The 20,908-nt window shown below is 37.4% G+C and overlaps 1 long non-coding RNA gene across 3 annotated transcripts in view; it reads right to left on the reverse strand.

The window, feature by feature from the left end:
• The window catches only part of LOC105377700 (uncharacterized), a 348,217-nt gene that overhangs the window by 148,648 nt on the left and 178,661 nt on the right, over positions 1 to 20,908 (reverse strand). For 2 of the 3 annotated variants that reach the window (XR_001742961.2, XR_002956233.2), the window contains exon 2: positions 19,098 to 19,234. This is a non-coding gene — a long non-coding RNA (uncharacterized LOC105377700). Of the gene's footprint in view, positions 1 to 14,226; positions 14,608 to 19,097; positions 19,235 to 20,908 lie in introns of those variants that run through there. The other variant, XR_001742965.1, reaches the window with a different exon arrangement.

Genomic DNA, 20,908 nt, shown 5'->3' on the forward strand with positions numbered 1-20,908 from the left:
ACCTAGCAAAGCAAGCCAACATTCAAATTCAGTAAATAAAGAGAACACCATAAAGATACTCCTTGAGAAGAGCAACTCCAAGACACATAATTGTCAGATTCACTAAGTTTCCAATGAAGGAAAAAATGTTAAGGACAGCCAGAGAGAAAGGTCAGGTTACCAACAAAGGGAAGCCCATCAGACTAACAGTGGATCTCTCAGCAGAAACTCTACAAGCCAGAAGAGAGTGGGGGCCAATATTCGACATCTTCAAGAAAAGAATTTTCAACCCAGAATTTCATATCCAGCCAAACTAAGCTTCATAAGTGAAGGAGAAATAAAATCCTTTACAGACAAGCAAACACTGAGAGATTTTGTCACCACCAGGCCTGCCTGACAGGAGCTCCTGAAGGAAGCACTAAACATGGAAAGGAACAGCCACCGCAAAAACATGCCAAATTGTAAAGACCATCAACACTATGAAGAAACTGCATCGATTAATGGGCAAAACAAACAGCGAACATCATAATGACAGGATTAAATTCACACATAACAATGTTAACCTTAAATGTAAATGGGCTAAATGCTTCAATTAAAAGACACAGACTGGCAAATTGGATAAAGAGTCAAGACCCATCAGTGTGCTGTATTCAGGAGATCAATCTCACATGCACAGACACACATAGGCTCGAAATAAAGGGATGGAAGAAGATCTACCAAGCAAATGGAAAGCAAAAAAGAGCAGAGGTTGCAATCCTCTGATAAAACAGACTTTAAACCAACAAAGATCAAAAGAGACAAAGAAGGCCATTACATAATGGAAACGGGATCAATTCAACAAGAAGAGCTACCTCTCCTAAATATACATACACCCAATACAGGAGCATCCAGATTCATAAAGCAAGCCCTTAGAGACCTACAAAGAGACTTAGACTCCCACACAATAATAATGGGAGACTTTAACACTCCACTGTCAATATTAGACAGATCAATGAGACAGAACGTTAACATGGATATCCACGACTTGAACTCAGCTCTGCACCAAGTGGACCTGATAAGCATCTACCGAACTCTCCACCCTAAATCAACAGAATATACATTCTTCTCAGCACCACATCATACTTATTCCAAAATTGACCACATAGTTGAAAATAAAGCACTCCTCAGCAAATGTAAAAGAACAGAAATCACAACAAACTGTCTGTCAGACCACAGTGCAATCAAACTAGAACTCAGGAGTAAGAAACTCACTCAAAACCGCACAACTACATGGAAACTGAACAACCTCCTCCTGAGTGACTATGGGGTCATTCAGGTCATAACAAAATGAAGGCAGAAATAAAGATGTTCTTTGAAACCAATGAGAACAAAGACACAACATACCAGAATCTCTAGGACACATTTAAAGCATTGTGTAGAGGGAAATTTATAACACTAAATGCCCACAAGAAAAAGCAGGAAAGATCTAAAATCGACACCCTAACATCACAATTAAAAGAACTAGAGAAGCAAGAGTAAACACATTCAAAAGCTAGCAGAAGGCACGAAATAACTAAGCTCAGAGCAGAACTGAAGGAGATAGAGACACAAAAACCATTCAAAAAATCAATGAATCCAGGAGCTGGTTTTTTGAAAAGATCAACAAAATTGATAGACCTAGTACTAGCAAGACTAATTAAGAAGAAAAGAGAGAAGAATCAAATAGATGCAATAAAAAAAGATAAAGGGGATATCACCACCAATCTCACAGAAATATAAACTACCATCAGAGAATACTATAAACACCTCTATGCAAATAAACTGGAAAATCTAGAAGAAATGGATAAATTCCTGGACACATACACCCTCCCAAGACTAAACCAGGAAGAAGTTGAATATCGGAACAGACCAATAACAGGGTCTGAAATTGAGGCAATAATTAATAGCCAACCACCCAGAAAAAGTCCAGGACCAGACAGATTCACAGCCGAATTCTACCAGAGGTACAAAGAGGAGCTGGTACTATTCCTTCTGAAACTATTCCAATCAACAGAAGAAAAGGGAATCCTCGCTGACTCATTTTATTAGGCCAGCATCATCCTGATACCAAAGCCTGGCAGAGACACAACGAAAAAAGATAATTTTAGAACATTATCTCTGATGAACATCAATGCAAAAATCCTCAATAAAATACTGGCAAACCGTATCCAGTAGCACATCAAAAAGCTTATGCACCAAAGTAAGTTTTAACAAAGTACATGCTATGAAACCCATGTCAACAGAGTACCACATTTTGAAAAAGACGAAAACCAGAAACAATACCTGCCTTTATAATCCAAATAATTATTGTAGAACTCTGATTCTTGGGTTCCTAACATCAAAGTGGTGAGATAATTAAAACACTCGTAGATGAAAGATTATGTACCCTCTTAGCCAATATTTCAAGGCTGTTTTCAGTATAGCAAATGAATGCCTGCATTTGCTGCCTTATTTTACAAGAAATAAAATTGGTGACAAAAATATATTTAACAACTACTTTTAAACATATTTTAATGACAATAAGAAACTGGTTAGATATACACTTTGTGTGCTACAGTCTAAAATTTCATTTTGTATTTTAACTGGATACTTTATCAGCTAATCTAAATATTTTGCATTATGCAGAAAGCTAAAACATTGAGAAACTATGGTTAATTAAATTATCTGATTAGCTAAATATTAAGGCAGATGATCTTTTAATTCAACAATTTCTGAATACACTCGATAGATAGCATAATTTAATTTTTCTTAGTGGCTCAGGATCTTATAAGGCTTCAAGAAGACTTTGCTCAGCCATAATATTATACTATAAATGTAGATGGTCAACATTAAGTTGTTTTACTGATATAAAGGAGTAGGCTTATGTATTGTTCATCTTCTAAAAAGAAGACAAGGAATGATTTTGAGTCCTCCATTAAATGTATGTAATACATATTGATAAAGAACATGTAGAAGTCCAGCCAATCAAGGGCTTTAAAATTACCAAGAGAAGCACCCATCTGTTATCTAAAATGACAAGAGCTTGTCACAAATATTCATAATATCATAAAGTAGAAGGTGTAATTACTTGCAATAGCATAGTCATGCTGGTTCTATTTTTCCCAGCTACAGAATATTCTGTAGACTGTGGTAATAACTGTAAACAGCTGTTTGGTCTTTAAAAAAACAGCAACAAATTTGAACTAAAAAGTCTACATTATCTTTCTCTTCCCAGCACTTATACTTTCCAAAAGTGTGGCCATTTAGTATAAGAAGTTTGTATTAAACCACCCACCTCTCAACTCATTTTTAATCCAGAACTAGCTAGGAAATGTCAGATTCCCTTCATATTTATCCCATATATAGTTCTTAGTTCCTTGCCCCATTTATGTTTCCTAGTCCCTTGTCTAGCCATCTGTGTTAATCTAACAACTGTTTCTATCTCCCTAACATAGCATTCATTAAAGATGGCAGGGACTAAGATAGAAAAGTAAACTGTTGGGGTGAATTTCTCAAAAGATGGCTCTGTGTGACGTGGGAATGAGAATATATGCAATTGTTCATAGAAATATTTTGTAAAATTCTAAAATTTATGTGGAACCACAAAAGACCCCAAATAGCCAAAGCAATCTTCAACAAAAAGAACAAAACTGGAGGCATCATTTCAAAATTTACCACAAATCTATAGTAACCAAAATAACCTGGTATTTGCATACAAGGAGACACACAAACCAATGGAATAAAATAGAGAGCCCAGAAATAAATCCAAATGTGAAGGAACAATTGATTTTCAACAAAGATGTCAAGAATACACAATGGGAAATGAACAGTCTCTTCAATAAACGGTACTGGGTAAACTGCATATACACACGAAAAAGAATGAAATTAGACTTTCCTCCCACACCATACACAAAAATTGACTCAAAATGATTAAAGAATTAAATGTGAGATCCGAAGCTGTAAAACTGCTAGAAGAAAACATAGGGGGAAAAAGCTCCATGGCACTGGTTGGGGCATGATTTTTGGATATGATCTCAAAGGCACAGGCAACAAAAGCAAAATTAGACAAATGGGATTATATTGAACTAACAAGCTTCTGCACAGGCAATGAAACAATCAACAAAGTGAAGAGCTCACATAAAGAGTGGGAGACTACATTTGCAAACCATACATATCATAAGGAGTTAATATCCAAAATATTAAGAATCTCAAACAACTCCATAGTGAGAAAACCTGATTTTTTTAATGAGCAAAAGACATGAATACACATTTCTCAAAAGAACACAAATAAATAGCCAACAAGTATATAAAAAAATGTTCAACATCACTAATTGTCAGGGAAAAAGCAAATTAAAACCACATGAGATACCACCTCAGACCTGTTAGAATGGCTGTTATCAAAAAGGCAAAAGATAACAAGAATCGGCAAAAATGTGGAAAAAAGCAAATCCTTGTACACTGTTGGTGGGAATGTAAATTAGTACAGCCATTGTAAAAAACACTACGGAGATTCCAGAAAAAATTAAAAATAAAACTACCAAACACATGATCCATAAATCCCACTACTGGGTATATATCCAAAGAACATAAAACCAGAATGTCAAAATGACATCTGCACTACCATGTTTATTGCAGCACTATTCACAATAGCCAAGATATGGAATCAACCTAAGTGTCCATCAGCAGATGAACGGAAAAAGAAAATGTAGTGTGTATACACAATATAATACTATTCAGCCTTAAAAAAAATGAAGAAATTCCTTCCATTTGCAGCAGCCTGAAGGAACCTAGAGGACATTACATTACATTAAATAAGCCAGGACCAAAAAGACAAATACTACATGATCTCATTTACATATGAAATCTAAAACCACGGAACTCATAAAAGCAGAGAGTAAAGTGATGGTTATCAGAGGTTGGTGGAGTGGCAGTCTGGGTTGGGGTCAGGCAGAGTTGGCTACAGGACATCAAATTTCAATTAGACAGGAGGAATAAGTTTGAGGTATCCATTGTACATCATGACAACCATAGCTAATAATATATTTTATACTTAAAAATTGCTGAGAGTATATTTTAAGTATCCTCACTGCAAAAAATAATAATAATAAGTATGTGAGATAATGCATATGGTAAATAGCTGGATTTAGCCATTCTTCAATGTATGCATATATCAAAAAATCATGTTTTCCATCATAACTATATACAATTTAACTTGTGAATTAAATGAGCGAATTCTTAAAATAATTGATGTTGCTGGAGAGGATGTGGAGAAATAGGAACACTTTTACACTGTTGGTGGGACTGTAAACTAGTTCAACCATTGTGGAAGTCAGTGTGGCGATTCCTCAGGGATCTAGAACTAGAAATACCATTTGACCCAGCCATCCCATTACTGGGTATATACCCAAAGGATTATAAAACATACTGCTATAAAGACACATGCACACGTATGTTTATTGCAGCACTATTCACAATAGCAAAGACTTGGAACCAAGCCAAATGTCCAACAATGATAGACTAGATTAAGAAAATGTGGCACCTATACACCATGGAATACTATGCAGCCATAAAAAATGATGAGTTCATGTCCTTTGTAGGGACATGGATGAAACTGGAAACCATCATTCTCAGCAAACTATCGCAAGGAAAAAACCAAACACCGCATGTTCTCACTCATAGGTGGGAATTGAACAATGAGAACACATGGACACAGGAAGGGGAACATCACACACCAGGGACTGTTGTGGGGTCGGGGGATGGGGGAGGGATAGCATTAGGAGATATACCTAATGCTAAATGACGAGTTAATGGGTGCAGCACACCAACATGGCACATGTATACATATGTAACAAACCTGCACATTGTGCACATGGACCCTAAAGCTTAAAGTATAAAAATAATAAAATAAAATAAAGTAAAAAATAAAATAAAATAAAATAATTGATGTGGTAACATATGACAGATGTTGCTATTAGTAAAATATTAAAAATTTTTAAAAGAATATATGAAGTCTAGTAAGTCAGGTTTGGATGTAATGAAGTTAACTCACAGGAATTGACTTGACTGGGTTTCTTAAGTATGAAACCCACAAGAACAACACCCTCTTCCAAAGACCTTTTCCACTAACTCCACCAAACAAAACAGACATAGTCTTTCTCTTTTCCAGAGTCCATTTCTTATGTAGCAGCCAGATTTCTCCCTACACTATTTACAACTCTCCCACCCCAATTTTATTTGATCATCTTGTTCTCTGAGCCAGTAATCAGTAAGATTCTAATTACCTTTCATCCTTTTTTGAGGCATGCATTCATCCATTAATCTTCAGTAATAATGTCACTTAGAAAAGTCCTTTTATATTTCATACATCCTAGAGCTCATTTTGAAATTCTTGGCTATTTGCTTATATGATTCTTGAGCTGGCTGCTAAAATGTTGGGAGACACAGTGGACAAGATAGAGAAGTACATATTCATATCTGATCCCACTTTCCCCCACTCTGGGAGAAGCAGTAGGCTTACAAATTGTTCACTGAAACTGATAGACAAAGACTGTATTAGTAGTATGTGCCCAAAATAATTTCACACACACACACACACACACACACACACAAATTGATTAACAGTTGTAGTTGGTTAATATTTGTATTAGTTTGGTTTAACTTTAAATGTATGAAATAAATATATATTTTATATATATATTTATATATATATATATATATCTCCTTCCCCAAAGCAAGACGAAGTACAATAGGCAATTAAAGCATGGTCTTGGTTTGGGGGCACTCAACTTTGAATTTTCACACTCTTGTAAATTTGCTGTGCTGAGAACCTTTTTACTCCTGTTTAACATTCAGGACAAAAGCAATGTACATGTCTATAGGCCTATTTGTCAAGAAATAAAAGTAATAAATGAGAGACACATTTGAATAACAAGAGTGAACTAGACATGAGAAAATAGAACAGGCCTGGGCAGCTTCAATTCTCCATCTTAAAATTACTCACTATTGTTGAGAATAATAGAATATCAAAAGAAGAAATCCAAAACTCAAATTAATTCCTATCCTCCCAGGAGAAGCTGCCTGCCTGATTCTGATCTGTCTTTCATGCGTTGTTCTCACTCAAACTTACAATTTCAAGGGCTAGAGTGTCACTCCAATATGCAAAGAGGCATTGGCATTAATAAGAGTTATATTTAGAAATCCTTCTACTGTGAGATAGAATACAATATTAAACTTGTGAATTTTAAGGTCATGACAAGGACACATTGACTAGCTAAAGTTTCAGAATTATGTAAATGAGCTCCTTTGGTAATCACAGGCTTTACAAATGTTCTGTCCAAATTAAAAGGGAAAAGTTTGTTCATTCTTCCTGCAAATAAGGACCATCAGGATGGGCATGTTATATTCTGGTAACAAACCATCCCAAAATCTCAAAGAGACTTTTAAAAACAAAGGTCTATTTCTTTCTCATCCCACATGGCCATGATTTTACTCTTGGCACCAGCTAACAGAGCAGCAACCATCCTAAATATTGCTGATTATTATGATAATGGGGAAAAATATTCTTAAAGTGCGTTGCATGAGTAATTAACTATTTCTGTCTAGAAGTGACTGTCACTTCTCTCACAACTCATTGGCTGAAACAAACCATGTGACCCCACACAATTGTAATGGGACAAGGAAGTATAATCTCTCCAGGTATCCAAAGGAAAATAAGATGACAACCAGAGCAGTAAACACAACAACAACAACGGGCTTCTCTTCTCACTAGCTTCCAGTTCGCATCCACCACTGAGAAACACAGGGGGAAATCAGAGGGAGGCAGAAGAGTGGAGGCCCCACTCCCTTTACGATGGTGTTGCTGCTGGCTGGCTGCATGACCCAGCCAGGGTTCAAAGTCCTGTCAGGTAGCCTACACCACATCCATTTCCTGGCTTTCCAGAGTAGTGGTCAAATCCTCTCTAGTTCCTTCAGGTCTAAGAATAACTCCCTAATGTTTCTAGTCCCAGGGTACTGAAGTATCCCCTGTGGTTTTCCTAATTGTTGTGGACTGAATTGTGTCCTCTTAGCATTCCTGTGTTGAAGCCCTACCTCCACAGTGCGATGGTATCAGGAAATGGGGCCTTTGGGGGATAATTAGGTTTAGAAAAGGTCTTGAGGGTAGGATCTTCATTATGGAATTAGTGCCCTTAAACGAAGAAACACCAAAGCTCTCTCTGTCTCTCTCTCTTCTCTCTTCTTTCTCCTCTCTTCTCTTTCTCTCACTCTCTCTCTCTCTCCTCTCTCTCCCTTTTTTTCTTTCTCTCTCAACTCTTTGACTCTTGACTCTCTCTTTCTCTCATTCTCCTCCTCTCACTTTCTCTCATTCTCCCTCTCTCCCCCCATTTCTCTTCTTGCTGTTTGAGAATATAGTAAGAAGGCAGCCATATGCAAGTCAGAAGATGGCCCTCATTAAGAATCTAGCCTTCCTGGCACCCTGACCTCAGAGTTCCAACTTCCAGAACTGTGAGAAATAAATTTATTTTGTTTAAGCCACCCAGTCTTTGGCATTTTCTTATGGCAGCCCAGCAGACTAAGACATTGATCCCACCTATACTCTTATAATAATCCCTTTATTAAACTCTTCTCAAATTACCTAATACGAATATGCCATCCCTTTCCTGCTGAGATCCTTACTAACGCAATATGCATTTTTAATTCTCCATTGTTTGTACCTATAATTTATCTCAAACTTGTAATTTCCTATATACATGACAGCTTAATTATGCCTTGGAAAATTAGAACAAACTTCTATTTAAAAGGGAGAAATGTTTAAGTAAATGTAGCATTTATGTTTTATTCAAGGCATTGTAAAGAGGAAGGCACAATACAGCATAATCATTCAGAGAACAGGACTTGGGTTTAGGCAGACCTGGGGTTTAGTCGCATCTCTACACATTGTAGCAAAGTTATTTGGCCACCTTACTTAGCTTCTCTAATACTCTCATGCCTTACCTGTCAAATAAGAATTATCATTTGCCTTACAACCAAGTTACAGAGTTGTAATGGCCCAAAACCTGGAGTAAAGAAAGCTATTACTATTACTCACTTACCAAAAATGCTTTTTTGGTATTGCTATTTTTTGTGATTTTGCTATTACTGGATATTGCTATTACTATTGCTTCTTGAAACCTGAGCAAATCTGTGGGTGCCAATTCTCACAACCATCACAGCCTACGGGACTTTTCCATTAAGGGGAATAGATAAGTGCCCATCAACAAGATCCAAAAGCAACATGAGCTAAGGCCAGGAGGCATCCTGCATTTGCCTACAGAAGATTATCTTCCACAGCAAAGCTAATCAAAGCTTTATTATCTTTAATGAAGTTCTCATATTAAATGCAGGACACTTGATATAATTTATCTTGATCAATTTTTAATGCTTAGAGGAAGTTGTTTGACAAATTATTTGTTCTGCCTGCACATTCTCTCTTTATCATTTTTCTTGCCTGCCACTACATTAAACGTGGACATGACCTACAGAGCGGAGTGAAAAAAACTAACAAGCATTAAGCCCCTACTTCAGCAACTAACAGGAGACTTATTCACACAAGACATCACTTAATTTTTCTTCAGCAACACAGAGTTTTCCATGGCTCAGTCAATAAGCATCTCACAGGAAAGTCAAACTGGGCTCTGGAGTCTCCATGTATTATGAGCCTTTGCAATGGGAAAAAGAACTTCTCGGCAGGCACATTAAATCGTGAAAGGTCTGAAAACCAACAACAATTGTGGTCAGGCAACCAGAAATGTTTGCTTCCTAAATCCCATGCCGAAAAATAATTTCTAATAAACTGCTACTTACAAATGACCTTGAAAGTACCTAATCGACCCATAATTGCAAGATGAAAGTGTTAGGAAAATGAGTTATATAACCTTAATCAACTTCCTTAACCTCTTTAGTTTTAGACTCCTCATTAAGACGGGGGAAAGAACAGTACAAAGGGCAAGGGCTGCTGAAAAGAATGAAATTAAATAAGGCATGCAAAGTATAGCACCTGATATAGAAGAAAATAATAACCGTTAGGTATTTTATTATTGTGATATCTGATATCCATTCTAGCTATTTCTAGCTATGAAATATTGATCCACTGCCATTTAGAAAATTTGATCCATCTTGCAAGAGAAAGGTTATTCTTGTTATATAACTACTCTTAGAGTTTAAGGCTTCCCTCTAATCATATGCATCCCAAAAGGATTTGACAGTTTTCAGTTGTCAAGGCCATCCCATGGGGGTGAAGATAACTAGCTTGTTAAATAATTCCATATCAATAAGCCAAACAGCTTTTTCTGATTTCTGGTTCATTGCACTATGGAATATAATAGAAATAAGATGTGGTTAATATTATGTGTCAACTTGGTTGGATAGAAGGATGCCTAGATAGCTGGTAAAGTATTGTTTCTGGGTATGTCTGGGAGGGTACTGCCAGAGGAGATTGACGTTTGAGTCAGTGGACTGGGAGAGGCAGACCCACCCTCAATGTGGGTGTGCACCATCCAATTGGCTGCCAGTGTGGCTAGAACAAAGCATGCAGAAGAAGGTGGAAGAAGCTGGCTTGCTGAGTCTCCTGGCTTTCATCTTCCTTCTGTGTACATGCTTTTTGTCCATTCCTCCTGCCCTTAGACATCAGACTCCAGGTTCTTTGGCCTTTGGGCTCTTGGACTTACACCAGTGGTTTGCCAGAGGCTCTTGGGCCTTCTGCCAACAGACTGAAGGCCGCACTGTTGGCTTCCCTACTTTTGAGGCTTTTGGACTCAGATCAAGCCACTCCTGGCTTCTTTCTTCCTCGGTTTACAGATGGCCTATCATGGGGCTTCACCTTGTGATCATGTGAGCCAATTCTCCTTAATAAACTCCCTTTCACATATGTCCTGTTAGTTCTATCCCTCTGGAGAACCCTGACTAATACATAAGGTGACCTTTACCCTAGGTGGCCTTGAGAGCTCCAGGAGACCAGGTTTTAAATATTAAACCTCAAATATCTACTAATTTGTTTCAAGGGTTCACTATAACTGTGAATTTATAATCTTAAAACAAGAAAAAGAAAAAAGGAAACAAGAAAAGAAGTACTTATTCATGTTTTAAGGTTTCTTAGTTTTCTGATAGGTATTTCTTTTACAACTCCTTTTATGACTCAAAGTATGCTTTTAAAATGGGGAGGGAGTATTATCCCAAATGTCCTTATTATCATTATCAATTCATCTACAAATATCCTACCATACAAGGCAATATTCCTAAAGGCATCCGCGCCAGATAGCTGATCATCGTTACTGGGTGAACTAGTCAGAAGGAAGGTATGTTTATGGAGTCAAACATTTCACAGTCCATTGTTTTTTCCCAGTCAGGGCCCAAAATGTAAGAAATTAAGCAAATGGAACTCTAGCCCTTCGAAATATTTTTCTGTTTAGTCAATTTCCTTGGAAAGAAAAGAGAGGTCTTAAAGCAGAAATAGGCATTTTTACTCAGAAATTGTTGCCATATTAGCTTAAGGGAGTGAAGCCTATCATATAAAAGTGCAACTCAACCAAATTTGGCATGCCACTCCAGATACTCCACCTCTATACTAAAGTCCAAAGCTGGGTAAAATTTGAGCTTTCTTTTTTTTTTGAGACAGACTCACTGCACCTCCGACTCCCTAGTTCAAGCGATTCTTCTGCCTCAGCCTACCGAGTAGCTGGGATTACAGGCACGCATCACCACGCCCAGCTAATTTTTGTATTTTTAGTAGAGATGGGGTTTCACCATGTTGGCCAGGCTGGTCTCAATCTCCTGACCTCATGATCCGCCCGCCTCGGCCTCCCAAAGTGCTCGGATTACAGGCATGAGCCACCACGCGCAGCCAATTTGAGCTTTCTTATAGGATTATAATTTTTTTTTTAAGATTTAATACTGATTTTTTTTTCCAGAATAAACTTTCATAAGACAATCCCATTATTATGGCATGGGCAGACGCCTCCTGCCTTGTATCCATCTCATCTGCAGTTGACAATCAGAGAATCCACAAAGTGACTGCCTACCAAAGACTACAAAATAAAAGGGCACAATAAAGTGTCCTTTAAAACACCTTCAAAAACTCCTGAATACACATTGTTCTACAAGGTGACTTTCTTGAACTCTTCGAAAGTGAATGTCATGAAAACCAAAAACAGACATACACCAAAAAAATAAAGCAAGCAAGAGAGCAAGAAAGTAAGGAAGAAAAAAAGAAAGAAGAAAGACTGAGGCACAGCCATTATAATGGCTAAATTTTTTTAAAAACATACCTTACCAAGTATGTTGGCAAGAAGGAACTGGAACTCTCTTGCATTGCTGGTGAAAATGTAAAATGCTACAACCACTTTGGAAAACAGCTTTGCAGTTTCTTAAAATGTTAAACATATACCTACTATATGATTCAGCCATTCCAATCTAGAAATACACTCAAGACAAAAAAAGCAAATGTCTGTACAAAGACTTGCCCACCAATAGTCACAGCAACTTTCTTTGGAAAAGCCAAATCATGGAAACAACCCAAATGGGCATCAACAGGTAAATGGATAAACACATTGTGATATATCCACAAGATGAAATGCTGTGCAGCAACAAAAGGATGAACTATTGACACATGCAAAAACATGGAGGAATCTCAAAATAGTTACACTGAGGAAAAGAAGCCAGACACAAAATAGTACATACTGTATGATTCCCTTTACATGAAAACCTACAAAATTCAAATTATCTCTAATGACAGAAAGATCAGTGGTTGCCAGAGGATGAGGGAGGAAAGTAGAGTGAGGACAACAGAGAAAGTTTACAAAGGGGAACCAAGAAGCTTTGGGGGTGACATATACATTCATTGCCTAGATTGTGATGATAGTTTCACCATGTATACATGTCTAAACTTATCAAATTATACACTTTAAATATATGCAGTTTTATTTCAACTATATCTCACTTTAACATGTAAAAAAAAGATGGAGGGACTACTCTAGATTAAAAGAGGTTAAAATTCATCCAAACATGTGAACATTGGACTCTTCTTTTAGAAAAATCACATAAGATAATTGCAGGACAATTGAGGAAACTTACATATGAATTGCATAAGTAATATGGTACTTGGGTTATTTCTTCTAAGATATAACAACAGTATTGTGGGGAAGTTTTTTCTTTTTTTATTCTGTTATAGCAGCCCAAACTGACTAAGACATTATTCCTATTTTGCAGACAAAAAAAATAACACAAAGATTAACTAGCTTGCCCAGAGTTATATAGGATAACTGGAAGAGCAGGTACTTATACCAGGGCAGTCTGAGTCTAGAGCTGGTACTCAAGTCTGAGCTCCCAATGCCTCTGAAGTCCAGGCAAGAAACATAATGAGCGGGTGGGGCCTGTGACAAACTGGTACATTCAATTCCTGCTCCTCGGCCAATATTGTCACGTCTTTGGACTATTCAAAAAAAAAGCCTGAAATTTGAATTTAAAGGCAAAATTTCTTGGTTGCTTTTGCTTGATTATTTGTTTACATAGGAGAAATTTCATTTTTAAAATATAATACTGATAAGAAGTAGACATTTTGAAAGAGAAATTCTGCCCATAAGCCATCAATTTAAAATCTATATCAAAACTATTAAAGCCCTTTGGCACTGCTGCATTAAGAAATATATTGAGAATTTCCAAGAAATTCTGTCTTTATGGAATCCATGATCCAAGCCAAAAGTTAAAATATCTACCCCTATCCACGAGGCCCTATTCAATGATATTTCTGAAACTAGAAACTTCTATTATGCCGAAACACCAGATGGGTAACAGGTTTTGTGGAATGCACAAGCAGTACACACAGAACTTTGAGCATTCTTTCTCTCTTCACCATTTCACCAGGTCTCTGTGTCTATAGTACACAGAGGGGACACAGAACACAGAGAAGACAATGTTAGCAAGGGAATCCTTCTCTAACTTCTGTCCCCAACCGACCTCACCTTGTCAACTTTCAAGAAGAAAAGGCAGATATGGCAAAGATAATAGCATCTACTTCCTCTACTCAGTGCCACCAACAGATGCTACAAATGCTGACAGCACCATACTTCATTTAGTTCCCTGTGCAGGATTGGGGGTTTCTGAGAATCTCATTGCCGGCATACTCTCGCTCTGCTGTTTTCTCTTGAGGACCACTTCCCTTTCTTCACCTCATCACTGGGCTCAGGTCCTCACTGATGGGCTTTCTTTCTAAGGCTAAGGAAAAGGGAAAGAGGAGAGTAAAAGAGCAGAAAAGTTCCCCTAGTGTGTGCACGACACAAGTAATCCTCTACAAGGTAACATTTCTGTGTTGGCAACCCTAGAAGCAGGTGCAACAAGTTAGTGCCAAGGAGAAATCAAGGTCATAATAATAGTATTATTTAAGCACTTATTATGTACTAGGTATTGGATAAGATACTCTCTAAACATCATCACTAGAGCTCTGAGGAAGACTCTTAGGGCATCTCAAAGATGGAGAAACTGAGACTCAGAATAAGTTTACCTGTCTCAGTCTAGGGTTCACGTTTTATAAATGCCACACCAGGGACTCCAATCCAGACCTCATGCTGGTCCCAGAGCTTTTTCCATCATAACATTCTGTCTCTAGGAGCAAAGATTTATGATGAAGAAGAAAGAATGGGGTTAGAAAAAAAACAAAAACAACTTCCAAAACAGAAGAGCACACCTCCCTATTGTAAGCTTCAGCCACCAGCTCTCCAAAGCTAAAGCTTTGTTTCCAAAGCTTTGTTTCTCACTGTCTCACCAACAGAATTACGTGGGGGAGCTCACTTAAAATACCAATTCCTGGGTCCTACTCTAGACTTAATGAATCCACATCTCTAGGGTGGGGAACCAGGAATGTGCATTTCTAATTGCAAACCCACAGTGGATTTTAATCAGTGGTTCTTCAACTGAACCACTGAATTTGATGATTCAGAAAAGGAGGAAGGCAGAGTCTAACAATCTCTACCAGATATTCAAAGATGAAAAAGACACTTTAAAGTAATAACCGAGGAAGGAGCTTTTGCTGCCAGACATACAATTTTTAATTTTTTTGAGGCAAATAATTATTATCAACAAACATCTCAAGGAAACCTAGTCCATTTATTTTACTTGTTTTGACATCTGCTGATAATGACAAGCTACAGGGAAAAGCGGGTTTCAGGATTGCAGCACTTAGTTAATTTGTGGCTGATTATTAAAAAATAATATATGCAGCTCCGTGTTTCTCCAGAGGTGAGAGTTACAAATTACTATGCTTGGTCCTGTTGCCACTGCCACTGCTGATGTTATTGTTTTTAAAGAATTGCAGCCTCCATATGTTTGTGAATATTAATAGTTTGAGGTTTTTCAGGTTGCCATAGCCACCTCAGCTCCCTTCTGCCGGCAGGACATGGTGCACTGGCAGTCAGTATTGTGAAGGAATCCACGTATGTAAATGTAACCTGGGAAGCTGCTCAAGCTGGAAACAGCCTCTTTCCTTCCCACGATTCCCAGTTTTAATCGTTAGTGACCAAAATGCACATGCTTCCAGCCCACTAGCCATCTCAAACCCAGCACAGTTATCCTCATACATCCATCCTCCATATCCCTGGTAACCGATCCTTCACTGTGCTTTTTTGAACCTTTATACACACATTCTGACTCAATCCTTCTGGCAATACTTCCTCCACCTTCTCTCCTAAACTGAAACATGGCCCTTCCCTGATTATGATGACACTGAACTCCTAAGTATATGCAAATCCTGGTGATCATTTTCTTTTCTAACCCGTCCCTCACCCTACCATCCCATTATCTCAAAAACTACAGGTAGGTGGGTACCAGCCTCAATGTTTCTGATTCCTCCACTGTTTGACCATTCCCTTTCAGGGAATCCTCCTTTTATTAACCTCCTCCATCTAATTTTGCCATGCCTTTCTGATCTCAATCTTTGTCTTCTAACCTCTGTGGGACCCCCAAGCTTTCCTATGGGTCCCATCTCCTATCACCCCCCTTAAGGAACTACACAGAGATTAGACGCCAGCCTCAGCTACTTTACCTCCTCTACTCTAAAGCTGTTGCTTCAGCTCCATCTCTTGTTGATTTAAGTTCTACCTACAGGCCAGATCAAATGCTTCCACCATAGTGATGAGTTTTCTACATTTCCAAGTTGACTGACATTGTCTCTGGATCCACAAAGCATGTGAAGCTGTGGAACACAGTGCTTAGGAATGTGGTCATTGGATTAAATTATGCAGGTAAAGTCCTGGCTTTTCCACTTTGCGCCCCTGTGGTTCAGGACAAGTGTTCTAACCTTAAGACTTCAGTTTCCTCACCCCTAAAATGATAACAGTAATAACATCTATTTCACAGAATCATTATGAAGATGGAAGAGATAACTTCTGGGTATAATTTAGATTAGTTGAAGATAAGAGGAAACATAACTCATACTAGCATAAGCAACAAAAGTGTATTACTGGCCCACTAATCTGAAAGTCCAGAGAAAAAAGAGTCTTCAGGCTGGGTTTGATTTCAGTGGCTAAGCCACAGATTCAAGAAGTGGTTTCTTTTTTACTCCCTCTGTTCTGCCTTCTGTGGAGTCAGCAGGCTTGCTTTCCCTCACAGGTACAAGGAGCTTCTTCTTCCAAAGCAAAGGAATGAACAAAATGATCACTTCAAAAAGTTCTCCCAAAATAGTGAGAGAACTTTTCCAGCCATTCTCAGAAAAACCTCTCATGGCCTGTAGTCCAGATGTGAATAGCTCTTCCCATTCACATGAGAAATGGCTCTTCCCATTCACATTCACAAAGTCCCATCCTTGAACCATTGCCTGGGGCAAGGGAATTCCTTGCACTAATTGGCTCAGACCTGCTCACCCTAGCACAGAGAAAGGGATTACAAATCCTGGAAAGCATCTTTCCATCTATAAACTGCACAGTAGGTATAAGATAAGGAAGAAGAGGCAGTTGGATGTTGGGAGGATGACATAATATTCACAATGGATGGTCAAGTCCTTCACTAATGATGGGAAATTAGTAAACACCCTGCTAAAATCAGCAGTGATTACTACATCATTTTTACCATTGATGACTACTTCTCATTCTTCTTTATATTATCATTTACTGTCAAACACTGCATGTTCTCACTCATAAGTGGTAGCTGAACAATGAGAACACATGGACACAGGAAGGGGAACATCACACACCGGGGCCTGTCACGGGATTGGGGAGCTAGGGGAAGGATAGCATTAGGAGAAATACCTAATGTAGATGATGGGTTGGTGGTTGCAGCAAACCACCATGGCATGTGTATACCTGTGTAACAAATCTGCACATTCTGCACATATATCCCAGAACTTAAAGTATAATTTTAAAAAAAGTTAAAAAAAAAGATTGCTCCCCATACCCTGTGCAACGATTACTGATCTTTTCGCCACTAACATACACTAACATGAACTTTTTACCACTAACGTACACACCCCAAATTCTGTACCTAGCAGTGTCCATACAAGAAACCTACCTTCGATACATGCTTTTTGGATAAATGAATAGACTGTAAAAGTGATCCTATCCAATGTCAAAGTCTCTTTCTGGCAAGAATTACAGATCACTCTAGATTATTTTATGCTCTTCAGTACAGAAAAATGTAATACATTTTAAAAAGTCTTTTTTATACAAAATAATATTACTAACCCATCACCATAACACAGGCACAGAGAGCAAGTATGTCTTTGGTATTTTCTGTCTGATCAGTAAACGCTTATCCTTTACTACAATTACATGCAATTTCTTCTTTTATAGCTTTCTTTCACTATTATTTCAGAGGTACATGATTCCATTTGACCAGACTAGATGCACTACGAAGAATAACATGAGACATATAATTTGTTTTGGTCAGTGTACCCTCATAATAAAAGCTAAAAGATCTTCAAATGAATAAATTCTAAGACCCTATAGTTTTCAAAACCACAAATTATCAGAAATTCTCCAATATTATACAGTGTAAAGAGATAAAATACTTACATAGGAAAAGACTTCCCTGTTAAGATTAATCTTTGAAATGTCTCATTTTCCATGAAAAATATTTAATCATCTTATACCAATATAAAGACATATATTCTTTATTCTGCCCAATTTTTTTAATAAATGAAATTACTTCTAAACAATTTTATTTTAATGCTTTTGAAAAGTAGATGATATTAGCAATTCTGCAATAATTTAACTAGCAAAGGCATTGTTGTAATTTTTAGATAGATGTGGTAAATGGCTCTATATGGGAGTTGTTTCTGGTTTTTAATTCCTGGTATTTCTTTTAAAGCCTGCGTGATTCTAGACTTTTTTAAAATATAATATTAAACTTGGAAATGTCTTTGAGAGAAGAAAAGTGTGTGTGGGAGACTGTAAAACAGACTGGCCGTCTCAGAGTAAAATGAGAGAAAATGTGGACGCTCTGTCTTTTAACAGAAAGCTGTAGCAGTGCAGAACCTTTGCTTCTTCTCTGTAGAGACCATGCAGTGAATTTTTAAGAGTAGAAACTGATGAAAGAGTAAAACAAGAAATGTTTAGAGAATATAAACTAGTCAGACCATCTGAACTTCATGGAAAAAGCAATACATTTTAAAATCATAATAATAGCACATGAGCCCAATCTAGGTAACACTACATATAGAAAGCTATATTATACATTATACATCTAATAATCCATATGCATGACCAGTCACATTTCAATTTCACATGTCTCCTAAAATTGCCACTTTGGTTTATCTCTAGCCACAAGCTTTTCACTATCCAATACAAAGCAAAGTCTCAGAAAATAATGAAACAAGATGAAGGAGAGCTCATGCAGTGGACAATAGTATATCCCCACAGAATTTGATGCCTGATCCAACTCAATGAAGTAGATATTGTTACCTGAGGCCAAGATGTTAAATAATTTTGTTCTATGCTTCTGAGTATTGGGAATCGGGTCCCAAAGACACTGATGGCATTGTAATGTGAGATCTAACCAATAAATCTCTTTCCCAAAGCAAAATCCAGCAGAGAAAGTGGGCACCATTGATCTCACACAGCCAACTAAATAGCCAAAAGGTTGAGCAATGTAAGTTATTCTATTACCTCTGTTGAATTTGGGTGATGAGTCACTCGGGTGAAGCTTTTGATATTTCCTCAGTGATCAGACTGCTTGATGGTACAGCCAAAATTCATTTAAATCCATATTCCCTGCAGCCTCCACTCTGGCTTCCTTGGTGACCCTAAGTACAAAAACAGAGATGCAACCAGTACGATGGGAGGGCCTTCTTGATAATGATTATAAAACCACTTATTTCCAGGAGATACACACACAAATAGGCTTATGAAGAGATGCTCAATCTCACTCATTATTCAAGAATAATAAATTAAGGCAAAAATTAAATGCTATTTTTACCCCAAAATTTAAACCATATGAGAATTTGGGAAAAAATTTCTCACCTATGGGAGGATATATTGATGCACTCTTGTTGTTGAATCTAAATTTTAAACATGCATACATTTTGAAACAGTAATTCCCATTTTTATAAATTGAACCCTAGGTAAGTGTTCAGAGATGCATACAGATGATATTACAGTGTTGAATAAGGAAGTAGCTAAATTAATTATAGTAAATCCATGCAGTGGAATGTCGTGAGGATCTAGAAAGAATGAGGTAAATCTATATATACTGATACGGAAATTATCCCAATGATATTGCAAAGTGAAGAAAAGTAGTTTGAATAGCAATAGCTATCACATGATTTCCATTTCCATGCTATGATTCTCATTTGTGAAAACAGCATATACATATTTTTTTCCTTGTGTACATAGAAATTTCTGGAAGTATAAAATACCAATAAGTCTGTGGAGGGGAACACTAAGGTAGCAGTGGCAGGGGTGAAGTCAATGTGGATACAATAGGACCTTAACTTCCCACCTATTCTTTCTTTATTTGACAAAAATGTTTACATGAGGTGGCAAGAGATTCTCTTCTCTCTTATCTTGCCTGTGTGAAGGCGAAATTGGATGGTAAGTGTACAGTATAAAGAGCCTGTCAGACACCAGTGAATATTGGGTCCCCTATTAAAACATGACTGAGTGTGCACAAACACACCCACACATACACAACCCACTCCCTTCCACCAGCTTCTAAAACCTGATATCCTAGTATGCCTTCCATCAGGGAATGTCTCCATTTCTTCAAGGTATTCTTATTTCACAGGAAGATAGGCGAGAGGGACTAGGACAAGAGTTAATTTGGCCATTGTTGTCACTTGATAGCTAGCTTATATTTTTCAAAAGAGAAAGAATCTCTTGTTCTATTTTACATTTCTAAAACAGAGAGAAATAAAATCTTCCCAGGTGCTATCTGTGACTTAGGCAAATGCTGCATCCTGCTCCCCACTTCAGTCAATCTTGAGAGAACAACTGGGGTGGGAACATTTAAAATATACCTCTGCTGTGATTGAAAACTGCAAGAATAATGAAACTTTAAGCATAATAATGTTGAAACAACACACAGTGAATTGTGGGGATTCTGACAGTCAGTGAGATTTCCAACTCCTTGTCTCTCTCTCAAATCACAGAAACAGTAAAAAAAAAAAAAAAAAAATACCTTCAGTCAGTGGTCTCCAAAACAGATGTTGCTCTCACACATCAGCAATAAAGAAATTTTGAGCAAGCAGTCACAAAGTCACATACATCACACCATTTTACTAATATTACCAAATACAAAAATTAAAATTAAAACATGACATTTAAAATATACAGAAAATCAAATTTCTAGTATTTTTTCCCACATCCAATGGGTTTCTGTTCCAAATAACTCATTAAGAAGAAACTATCATGCTCTCTCTTACACAATTATAAAAGTTACACCCCTAAAATATTACAACTTCATCTACTCAACCAGCAAA

Source organism: Homo sapiens, chromosome 5 (assembly GCF_000001405.40).
Source record: "Homo sapiens chromosome 5, GRCh38.p14 Primary Assembly".
NCBI classification, from domain to species: Eukaryota; Metazoa; Chordata; class Mammalia; order Primates; family Hominidae; genus Homo; species Homo sapiens.